Source organism: Homo sapiens, chromosome 21, assembly GCF_000001405.40.
Source record: "Homo sapiens chromosome 21, GRCh38.p14 Primary Assembly".
Lineage (NCBI taxonomy): Eukaryota > Metazoa > Chordata > Mammalia > Primates > Hominidae > Homo > Homo sapiens.
In genome coordinates, this window is record NC_000021.9 from 44,668,780 (window position 1) to 44,681,454 (window position 12,675).

The 12,675-nt window shown below is 42.2% G+C and overlaps 1 protein-coding gene and 1 pseudogene across 2 annotated transcripts in view; both read right to left on the reverse strand.

Moving 5' to 3' along the window:
* The window catches only part of TSPEAR (thrombospondin type laminin G domain and EAR repeats), a 213,680-nt gene that overhangs the window by 170,887 nt on the left and 30,118 nt on the right, over nucleotides 1-12,675 (reverse strand). The window lies entirely within an intron of this gene.
* On the reverse strand, nucleotides 6,749-9,386 carry IMMTP1 (inner membrane mitochondrial protein pseudogene 1; annotated as a pseudogene).

The window sequence follows — 12,675 nt, forward strand, 5'->3', positions numbered from 1 at the left end:
CAGTGAGGGAAGAACAGACTTTTTAACAAATGGCAGTGGGAAAACAGGATATCCACACACAAAAGATTATTTTTAACCCTTACCTCACACCATATACAAAATTAACTCAAGATCAAAGATAGAGAATCTCAGTAGGGAAATTGAAACTATTTTTTAAATGGGAATGCTAGAACTAAAATGTACAATAGCTGATATTTTAAAATCCACATGATAGACGTAAATATAGAATGAGATTGAAGAAGAGTTCATGAACTTGAAGCACATCAATAGAAATTATCCAAAATGAAGGAGAGGAAGAAAAAGAATTAAGAAAAATGAAAAGAGCCTGTGAGACATCATTAAACAGCATCACATATATGTAATATCAAACTCAGGTGGCTCACGCCTGTAATCCCAGCACTTTGGGAGGGCAAGGCGGCTGGATCATGAGGTCAAGAGATCGAGACCATCCTGGCTAACATGGTGCAACCCCGCCTCTACTAAAAATACAAAAATTAGCTGGGTGTGGTGGCACGTGCCTGTAGTCCCAGCTACTTGGGAGGCTGAGGCAGGAGAATCACTTGAACCCGGGAGGTGGAGTTTGCAGTGAGGTGAGATTGCACCACTGCACTCCAGCCTGTGACAGAGCAGGACTCCATCTCAAAAAAAATTAAATAAAAAAATAAAGCACTGGGCATTCTCCCCTAAAACACAAAGCTACAAACACAGAGCCTCCTCCACCCCTCAGCATCAAGGGGGCAAGGGTGAGGGGTTGGAGGGCTGTACTTTCAGTTAAAGAGAGGCTAGCTGTGTGCCTGCAGTATGGACTAAGGAGCCTGGAGCCTGGACTGAGGCTGCCAGGCTGAAAACCGAGACCATGACATCAGGTTCCAGCACACTCCATTGCTACTGGCAACAGCCATCCCAGTATTCCCACCATTCTCCTCCTCGGCTTACGGATCACCCGCAGGAGGTGGCGTGCCTTGTTGGGATGAACATCCGGATGCCCTTTGCCCCAGCAGTCCCACCCCCAGAGGTCCTACCCCCAGAACACTAACAAACAAATTGTGGAATAGGTTTGCAAATGTTTATATCAGCACCATCTGTAATAGCAGACTCTTGGGAACAACAGGCCTGCCCATCTACTGGGGGGCATTTAACCTGAAGTAGAAACAGCAGAACCCCAGGAAGGAGGCACGCTGAATACAGAATACACCCACAAGAAATGCAGAGGACCCTTAGCAACTCTGTACAGAGTGGGAGACATAAGTCTCAGAAGATTACTCAGAATAATTCCCTTTTAATATCATTCAAAACCACTAAATTAGAAAACACACATTTCAGGAATACAAAGAGATATGACTCAACTCTATTTTTTCTAGAAAGTAACAGAATAAAGGGCACATAATCCCAACAGTGGCTGCCCCAAGAAGTTCATGGTAAATTATTGATGATGTTCTAGTTTCTGTGTCAGGTAGTGGGTTCATGGTTCATAGGTGGGGGGGTTGTTATAATCATTAATAATTGATCAATCAGTAAAAAGTGGGCAGGCTCAAGAGGGCTGACTAGAGGCACCTGACACTTGCCTCTTCCACAAAGAACCCAAAAGAGTGAGAGGTAACAACATTTTGAATGGGACATCTGAGAGAGACACTGGAATTCAGCAAAGAAGCAACTGGAATTCAGCAAAGAAGCGACAGGAAATATCTGAGGCACAGAAGGCAAGGGAAGGGAGGCAGCTGGCCCAGCTAGAATCAGTCGGGAGCCCACAGAGACTCCCCAGTCCAGGGAAATGGTAAATGAGAGATTCCCAGCTGTCTACATTTCCACCATGGATTCAGCATGGACCTGAAACCCTAGCCATGGGAGAGCCTCTTATTCTTCACATGCCCTGAGACTTACATAGGGATTTGCCAGGATGCCACATAATGGCATTGCTCCAGAGAAAGAGCCCACACTGGGTCTCACACACCCACCAGGTCCTGAGCAGCTGTAGCATGGTGCCATTTTGAGAGCCCAGCCCCTAAAAGTCTGCATCCTGCCCTGGGGCCCAACAGATCTTGTATCTCCACATCCCTTCAGCTCTGCCGAATCCCACAACCCCCACCAACCCAAGAGGGCTGCAGGAGTGCAATACCAGCTGGATGCATCAATAAGGCAGGGGTTCATGAACTTGCATGTACCCTGAGTACAGGCTTTCCCCACCCACCATCATAAATTACCCCACACTATTCACCATAGCCTGTGTCCATGCACACTGTGTGGCCTGGCACTGCACCCTCAGTGCCCAAGCATACCATCTGGGGGCCTGGTGGTCCCCCCCAACCCATTCTACCAATGCCAGCCATCTATGCACTCCTCCCAGGGACCTGAGGATGTGCCCACCCAGCATGCCACTACCACCAGCGCTCACTTGCATGTGCCACCTGGGAGCTTGGGGACTGGCTTGCCCAGCCTGTCACAACCACCACTTATATTAGGAAGTGCTGTCTGAGAGCCCAAAGGCTGTCCCACCATTGCTACTACCATCATCCATGTCAGGCACACTGCCCAGCGGCCCAAGGACCCATCCATGCATCCAACCCACTGCTGCCACTGCTAGCACATAAGCAAGCTGTCTGGAGGCCCAAGAATCAGCCTGCCTGGACATGGTAACACCAGTGCCAGCATATGCTACTCAGGGGCCTAAGGACAGGCACATTTGGCCCACTGCTGCCACCACTGGGGCCTGAGATTTGGCCAACCTGGTGTTTCTGACCCCAGAAAAGCCTCACCACAGCCTCCACTGACAACCACAGCCAAGCTGCTGAGGAAATCACAAACACTAGTGATGCTGTTCACAGCCAAAGAAATCATACAGAGACTAAACTACTGCATGCACCCAGAATCATAGCTAAAGTATTCCAACCAGCCACCGCCATAGACACATCTGCAGGAAAAAGTCTTCTCATAAAAAAGCCAGTCCCCAAAATTGGAAGAAGTGATTGTTATGTCAGATGTGCAGATATCAATATAAGGACTCAAGAAACATGAAAAAACAAGGAAATGTCACACCTCCAAAGGGACACAAGAATTGTGCAACAGATTCAAATGAAAAAGAAATGTATGAATTACCAGAAAAATAATTCAAAATAATGATATTAAGGATATTCTGTGAGATATAAGATAACATGGATAAACTATACAAATAAACCAGAAAAACAGTTCAGGATATGAATGAGAAAATCACCAAAGAGACAGATATCATAACCAAAGAATCCAACAGAAATCCTGGAAATGAATAATTCAATACATGAAATAAAAAATCCATTTGAGAGCTTCAACAATATACCAGATCAAGCAGAAGAAAAAATTTCAGAAGTTGAAGACTGGTCTTTTGAAACAACTCAGTCAGACAAAAAGAAAAAAAGAAGAATAAACAAAGCCTATGTAACATATGGAACACTATAAAGTGAGCAAATATTCTAATATTGGATGTTCCAGAAAACAAAGAGAAGCCCAAAGGCATAGAAAGCCTATTTAGCAAAATAGGCCAGGCACAGTGGCTCACGCCTGTAATCCCAGCACTTTGGGAGGCTAAGGCGGGCGGATCACAAGGTCAGGAGATTGAGACCATCCTGGCTAACACGGTGAAACCCCGTCTCTACTAAAAATACAAAAAATTAGCCGGGCGTGGTGGCAGGTGCCTGTAGTCCCAGCTACTCGGGAGGCTGAGACAGGAAAATGGCGTGAACCTGGGAGGCGGAGCTTGCAGTGAGCAGAGATGGCGCCACTGCACTGCAGGCTGGGCGATAGAGCAAAACTCCGTCTCAAAACAAAAAAAAAAGAAAACCTATTTAGCAAAATGATAGGTGAAAATTTCCCTAGTCTAGCAAGAGATTTAAACATTCAGATGCAGGAAGCTCAGAGATCCTGATATGGTTTGGATTTCTATCTCTGCCCAAATCTCGTGTTGAATTGTTATCCTCAATGCTGGAGAAGGGGCTGAGGGGGAGGGGATTGGATCATGGGGGCAGATTTCCCCCTTGCAGTTCTCCTGATAGTGAGTTCTCACGAGATCTGGTTGTTTAAATATGTGTAGCACCTCCCCCTTTTCTCTCTTCCTCCTGCTCCAGCCATGTAGGACATTCCAGCTTCCCATTTGCCTTTTGCATTAATTATAAGTTTCCTGAGGCTTCCCAACCCACGCTCCTTGTACAGCCTGCAGAACCATGAGCCAATTAATCCTCTTTTCTTTATAAATTACCCAGTCTCAGGTAGTTCTTTATAGCAATGCAAGAACGTACTAATACAGATCCCCAAATAGATACAATTCAAAAAGATCTTTTCCATGGCACATTATAGTCAAACTGTCAAAAGTCAAAGACAAGGAGAGAATTCTAAAAATAGCAAGAAGAAAGCAACTAGTCATATATAAGGAAACCCCCATCAGACTAACAGTGGATTTCTCAGCAGAAACCTTACAGGTCAGGACAGAATGGGATGATATATTCAAAGTGCTGAAAGAAAGAAACTGACAGACAAGGATACTATACTCAGCAAAATTATCCTCCATAAATAAACAGAAATAAAATCTTTCATGGACAATCAAAAGCTGAGGGTATTCATCACCACTGGACCAGCCATACAGGAAATTCTTAAGAGAATATTACAATTCTAAATCTATATGCACCCAATACCAAAAGAGTCTGATATACAAGCAAATATTATTAGATCTAAAGGAAGAGACAGACTCCAATACAATAATAGTTGAGGACTTCAACACCCCACTCTCACCATTAGACATATCATCCAGACAGAAAATCAACAACAACAAAAAAATTGGATTTATACTGAACTTTAAAGCAAATGGACCTAATAGGCATTTAAAGAACATTTCATCTAACAGCTGCAGAATACACATTCTTCTCATAAGCACATGGAACATTATTCAGGACAGACCCTATGTTTGGCCACAAAACAAGTCTCAACTAACTTTAAAAAATCAAAATAATATCAAGTATCTTCTCAGACCACAATAACTAAAACTAGATATTAATAACAAGAAGAGCTTTGGAAACTGTACAAATATGTGGAAATTGAACAACATGTTCCTAAATGGCTACTGGGTTAATGAAGACATTAATAAGGAAATCAAAAAATTTCTCAAAAAAAAATAAAAAGGGAAACACGACATATCAAAACCTATAGGCTACAAAAATAACAGTGCTAAGAGGGACGTTAGTAGTAATAAATGCCTACATCAAAAAGGTAGATGTGGTGGTGCCTATAGTCCCAGCTGCTAGGGAGGTTGAGGTGAGATGATCACTTGAGCCCAGGAGTTTAAGGCCAGTCTGAGCAACACAGTAAGACTCCATCTCAAAAAAAAAAAAAGTAGAAAGATTTCAAATAAACAATCCAATGATGCACCTCAAGGAACTAGAAAGGCAAGAACAAACCAAATCCAAAATTAGTAGAAGGAAAGAGACAATAAAGTATATAGCTAAACAAAATAGACTTTAAAAAAATACAAAGAAGTAACAAAACAAAAAGTTGGTCTTTTAAAAAGATAAAAAAAAATCAATAAACAGCTAGCTAGGCTAACCAAGCAAAAAAGAAAGAAGACCCCAATACACAAAATCAGAAATGAAAAAGGAGACATTACAACTGATACCATGGAAATACAAAAGATCATCTGGCTGGGCACGGTGACTCATGTCTGTAATCCTAGCACTTTGGGAGGCCAAGGCAGGTGGATCACTTGAGCCCAAGAGTTTGAGACCAGCCCGGGCAACATGGCAAACACCCAACTCTATAAAAAATACAAAAATTAGCTAGTTATGGTGGCACATGCCTGTAGTCTCAGATGCTGAGAAGGCTGAGGTGGGAAGATCACCTGAGCCCAGGAGGTGGAGGCTGTGGTGAGCCATGACCACACCACGACTGGGTCATTGCACTCCAGCCTGGGTGACAAAGGGAGACTCTGTCTTTAAAGTGTGTGTGTGTGTGTGTGTGTGTGTGTGTGTGTGTGTGTGTGTGTGTGTGTGTATAACATTACCAGAGACTATGCTCTAAAAACTGGTAAACCTAGAGGAAATGATAATTTCCTGGACATACACAACCTACCAAGATTGAATTAAAAAAAAAAAGAAAACCTGAATAGACCAATAATGAATAACCAGATTGAATCAGTAATAAAAAGTCTCCCAGCAAAGAAGAGCCCAGGCCTGAATGGCTTCACTGCCAAATTATACCAAACACATGAAGAACCAACACTAATTCTCCTCAAATTGTTCCAAAAAATTGAAGAGGAGGGAACTCTTCTTAACTCACTCTATGAGGCCAGAATTACCTTGATACCGAAAGCAGACAAAAATACAGTAAAAAAAGAAAAGTACAGACCAATATCCCCAATGAACATAGATGCAAAACTCCTCAACAAAATACTAGCAAACTGAATCCAGCAGCCCATCGAAAAGATAATATACCATGATCAAGTGGAAATTATCATACAGATGCAAGGGTGATTCAACATACACAAATCAATAAACATGATATATCACATTAACAGAATGAAGGACAGAAAGTATATGAGCATCTCAATAGATGCAGAAAAAGCATTTGACAAAATTCAATATCCTTCATGATAAAAACTCTCAACAAACCATGTACAGAAGAAACATACCTCAAAATAATAAAGGCCATGTATGACAGACCCACAGCTAACATCATATTAAATGGAAAAAAGCTGAAAGCCTTTCTTGTAAGAACTGAATGAGACAAGGATGCATTTTTTTTTTTCAGTTTTCATCTTGTTTATTCAGTTTGCTCCGAGGGCAAAATCAACAGTAGTAGAGATCACAAACATTATTTTGATTGGCCTCACAAGTCTGATCAGTAAAATCCGAAAAACAGAAAATGTTACACGAGTTGCAAAGAAAGCACTCCTGGAGTTCACTGACATGATAGCAAGTGGAAAGAATATAAATGCAACAGGTGTTAACATTTAGAACAGTACTTGTAAGCCTGCTCATGTCTAGACAATTCTGGGACCCTTGCGGCAAACCCTTCATGTATCACTGCTGATTTCCTTGACATGAAATACGACTTTACGAAAATCTTCCTAGACCTTACTCTGGCTGTACTTGAGTGGTTCTTGTGCCTACGGCGCTGGCATATGCTGTCAGGATTTCCATTATCTGTTTCGTTTCTAGGGTTATTCGGGCTTCCTTCAGCCAGTCTTGTGCCACTTATCTGGATTCTCCCTTCAGCTGATTGACAAATTTTGCTACTAGCTCCAGATCACCATGCTCAATGCAATAGGAGGCATATGACAGTAATTTAAACGTGTTTATATCTTCAGATCAGAGCTCTGCAGCTTCAGTTGCTGAGGCGGGAATAGAAGCAGGGACTGCAGGTAGGAGAAGAAGTACTGGTACAAGCTATTTCTGGTTTAATCAATCATTGCTACCCTTCGGGCCAGTTTTTGAACAGCATAAAAGCGGACTCTAAGGGTCTCTTCACTGTACACCCCATGGGTCAGGGACTCTGGAGGGATAGCTGTGGCTAAAGCTTTAGTAAATTCATTATCAGAACAGTTGGCTTTGATGGCCTCAACTGCACTACCCAGTGGGACAGCAGGCATTTCTGCAGATGAGGTCTTCATGCTGTACTTTAATGCCTCCACTGAAAGCCAGAGTTGGTAGGCTTTTCTGGCTTCCTCTTCAGCAACTGCATGACTCTGAACAGCGTGTTCGATTCCTCTGAGTCTGGCATAGGCGGTATTTATATCCAGAGTAAAGTTGTGAACTTGCTCTTGACTTAGATGATGAAACTGTAATTCTTGTTCCGAGAGTTTCTCAGACAGGTTCTGCTCAAATTCATACTTCAATTCCTGTTCTTGAACCCTAAGGACATCTCACAAGTGATCAGTGTGGGCAGCTGCCTGTCAGTGAAGCTAGGTTCTCATTTCATTCTCCATGGCATCTCTGACTTCCTCTACGTTTCTGTCCTATTCAGCCTGCATTTTACTTCCATGATGTTCTAATGCTTTTGCTACTACAGAGTCAAATGCCCACTTTTCTTCCAGCGTTTGTTTCTCCAAGGCTAATGTGATGTGCTGCTTTTCTGTGGCCTTCTGTTCTGCTAGCTCTCTGTTCAGCTGATCGATGTGACGATGTGCACGGGCAATCAGGGAGTTCAGATCATCAGTAGAGAGCTTGTCAGCTGGGTCCGAAACGCTCATTCCTTTCCACCCAGGAAGGACTTCTGGAGTAATACTGTCCAGCTGTCGTTTAAAGTCATCCTGAGCTTGGCCCACCAGCTCATGATACTGAGATACAAGCTTAGACTCAAATTGAGCTGCTTGGACCTTTTTGACCACATTATCCAGATCAACTATCATGTTGTGAAGTTTATATGAGGCTTGGCCCCAGCAACCTCTTCTTTCTTTGCATTTTCAGTCACACTTTTCATCTTCTCTACCTCTTCTTTGGCTTTGAGAAGGGCATTGGCAGCTTCATCTACTGCCTTTCTGTGTTCCTTCAACGCACCTTGCACTGTGTGCCACTTAGCAGACTTCTTCTTGCCCTCAATCTCAGAATTGTCCATGGCGGCTTTCAATATGTTGGAGTGTGCATTGACAGCCTGGACCACAGTGTTCTGAGCTGCAATCGCCTGCAGAGTGACATTTGCAGTTTGCCTCAGAGCATCTTCAAAGCTCTTGGCTAGAGACTCAGTTTTAACTTGTTCTTGTTTTTCCTCTTGTGCAAGGCAAGCTGCAATTTCTTCACATGGTCGTTCCCTTATAGAAGATGAGGATGCTTCTTCTGAAAGTGCAGGTGTGGGTTTTCCTTCATCAATTGCAGGGTGATCAGTTTTTAAAGATTCCTCATGCTGAACCCCAGGGACCAACACTGTATCACCTGCGGTTGCTGAAGCTGGAGTATCTCCCTTTTGTTTTTGGAGTTGTGAGGCAGGCTGTTTAAATTCTTTTGTTACTTCTGATACACTAGAGATTTTTAGTGGACCAGACTGAGTTGATTTCTTTGGCAATGGAACATTATAAGGTGCAGAACCAAGAACCACCTCGAAGAGTTTGTCTGAGTAAGGTATGGTTTTCTCTACTCTTTCTCGGAAATGGGAAGCCCATTTGGCATATAGGATAGTGCCACCAATACCTCCACCAAAAAACAAAAGGCCAGCTCCAGCAATGTTGCCAGTAGTCAACCACAGAGCTGCCTGAAGTAGAGTATCGGCGGCATGGTCACAGTGGACGGAGGACTAACTTCCCATAGAGACAACTCTGGGCCACAGCGGTCACACTCGATAACTGACAGGCCCGCAGTATCTGTCGAGCGGACGGTGCTGCTGGTGGATGCGGGAGCTGCCATGGCGGCACGAGTAAGTGGAGGCATGTGTACATATGTCAAGGATGCCTATTTTTATCACTCCTATTGATATGGTTTGGATCTGTGTCCCCACCCAAACTTGAAATGTAATCCCCAGCGCTGGAGGTGGAGCCTGGTAGGAGGTGATTTGATCATGAGGGCCATTTCTCATGAATGGTTTAACACCATCCCTCTTGGTGGTATTGTCATGATAATCAGTTCTTGTGAGATCTGGTTGTTTAAAAGTGTGTGGCATCCTCACCCCACCCACACTGCTCCAGAATGTGAAGCACTGGTGCCCCTTTTGCCTTCTGCCATGACTGTAAGCTTCCTGAGGCCTCCCTAGAAGCAGAAGCCTCTATGGTTCCTGTATAGCCTGCAGAACCATAAGCCAATTAAACCTCTTTTCTTTATAAATTACCCAGTCTCAGGTATCTTTATAGCAATGTAAGAATGGACTAATACACCTATTCAACATAGTACTGGAAGTCCAATCCAGTGTAATCAGGTAAGAGATAGAAATAAAAGCTGTCCCAATTGGAAGAGAGGAAGTCAAATTGTCCCTCTTTGCACATGACATGATTTTATATTTAGAAAAATCTAAAGACTCCACCAAAAAACTATTAGAACTGATAAACAAATTTAGTAAAGTTGCAGGATACAAAATCAACATATAAAAATCAGTAGTGTTTCGATACACCAATAACAAACTAGCTGAAAAAGTAAGCAAAAAGGCAATCCATGAAGGCTAAAACAACTCCATCTTGGATGCTAATCTGCCATATGGACTTCTAGTTAACCTGTTCTGGGAAGGCCTCTAAAATTTCCAGTTTATCTACTGTTCCTTGTATAAGAGCACATACTATAAATCCTGCTTCAAAACAACCTTGACGTTATCCTACTTCAATTGGTCTACAGAGCCCTTCTAAATCACATATACCCTTTCCTTATGGTATATAAGCCTTGGGTCTGGAGGGGTAATGGCACAGGGATCCACCAGCTTATCTTACCACCACCCAAGACACAGACATGGCTTCTGTTTTAAGTCCTTATTAAATGTTTCTTTCTGAGAAACTGGATTTGTCAGCCTCTTTCTGTGGCCTCTCAGCTTCCTTGAACTTTGGGGGTAGGTTTGCATAGACCTGCCCATGGAACACAATCTCATTCACAATAGCTATTTTAAAAATAAAATACCTGGCAATAAATATAACCAAGGATGTGAAAGACCTCTGCAAAGAAAACTACAAAACACTGATAAAATAAATTGAAGAAGACACAAACAAATGGAAAGACATTCCATGTTCATGGATCAGAAGAAATGATATTGTTAGAAAGATCATACTATCCAAAGCAATCAACAGACTCAATGCAATCTCTATCAAAATGCCAATGACATGTTTCACAGAAGTAGAAAAAACAGTCCTAAAATTCATATGGAACCAAAAAGGACCCTGAATAGCCAAAGTTATCCTGAACAAAAAGAACAAACCTGTAGGTATCACACCGCTTGACTTCAAAATATATTACAAGGCTAAACAGCATAGTATTGGTATAAAACCAGACACATAGATCAATGGAACAGAATAGAGAACCCAGAAATAAATCCATATATTTACAGCCAATTGATTTTCAACAAAGGTGCCAAGAACATACAATAGAGAAAGGACACCCCTTCAATAAATGGTGCTGGGAAAACTGGATAGCCACATGCAGAAGAATGAAACTGGATCCCTACCTCTCATCATATACAGAAATCAACTCAAGATGTATCAAAGCCTTAAACATAAGACCGAAAACCATAAAGCTACTAGAAGAAAACATAAATGAAATGCTCCAGGACATTGGTCTAGGCAAACAGTTTATGGCTAAGACTACAAAAACACAGGCAACAAAAACCAAAATAGACAAATGAGATTATATTAAACTGAAAAGCTCTGCACAGCAAACGGAACAATCAACAGAGTGAAGAGACAACCTGTGTAATGGGAGAAAATATTTGTAAACTATGCATCTGACAAGTGACTAATATCCAGAATATGTAAGGAACTCAAACAACTCAACAACAACAACAAAACAAATAATTCCATTAATAAATGGGCAAAGCACCTGAATAGGCATCTCTCAAAAGAAGACATACAAATGGCCAACAGGTATATTAAAAAAAACTCAACATCACTAATCATCAGGGAACTTCAGATCAAAACTACAATGAGATAGCATCATCTTACCCCAATTAGAATGGCTATTATCAAAAAGACAAAAAATAACAGATGCTGGTAAAGATGTGGAGAAAAGGGAACTCTTATACATCATTTGTGGAAGTGTAAATTAGTACAGCCATTATCAAAAACGGTATACAGATTTCTCAGAAAACTAAAATAAAACTACCATACTATCCAGCAATCCTGCTACTATTTATTCAAAGGATAGGGAATTGGTGTATCAAAAAGATACCTGCACCCCCATGTTTATTGCAGCACTATTCACAATAGCCAAGATACAGATTCAACCTAAATGTCTATCAATAAATAAATGAATCAAGAAACTGTGGTATATATTTACAATGGAATCTTATTCGGCCATAAAAAAGAATGAAGTCCTGCCATTTGCAGCAACATGGATGGAACCGAAGGTCATTAAAGACAAATATTACATGTTCTCACTCACATGTGGGAGTTCACAAAGTTGATCTCATGGAAGTAGAGAGTAGAATGATATTACCAGAGGTGAAGAACGGTGTGTGTTAGAGGAGAAGTGAGTTTGGTTAATGGGTACAAACATACAGTTACACAGAAAGAATAAGTTCTAATATTTGATAGCAGCATAGGGTGACTACAGTTAACAATGTATTGTATGTCTCAAATCAGCTAGAAGAGAGAGTGTAAAATGTCCTCAACACAGAGAAATGATAGACAAGGTGATGAATATCCTGATTTCATCATTACGTATCCTCTGTGTGTAAAGTATTTCATATGCCCCATAAATATGTAAACATATTATGTATCAATTTTTAAAAAGTGCCATATGTAGATCAGTGATGGGAGTGTGTGCTGCAGAACTAATCCAGTTCTGTAAACCTGAGATCCTCCGCGACCCGGGAAGCAGGACATCCACCAACCACATGGGAAAGCCCGATCCTCAGTGCTCTGAGGCTTTGGCCATCAATGCAGGGCTTGCTGGCCTGGAGCAGGAGTGGACAGCCAGTGGGGAAGCGAGGCCACTCCACCACAGGCGGGTAAGTCACCGCTGTGGCCACTGCAGCTGGGCCCCAGGAGCCCTGGGAGAGACCACATGGGCATCTGCAGCCGCGCCCTCCACCCGGGACACC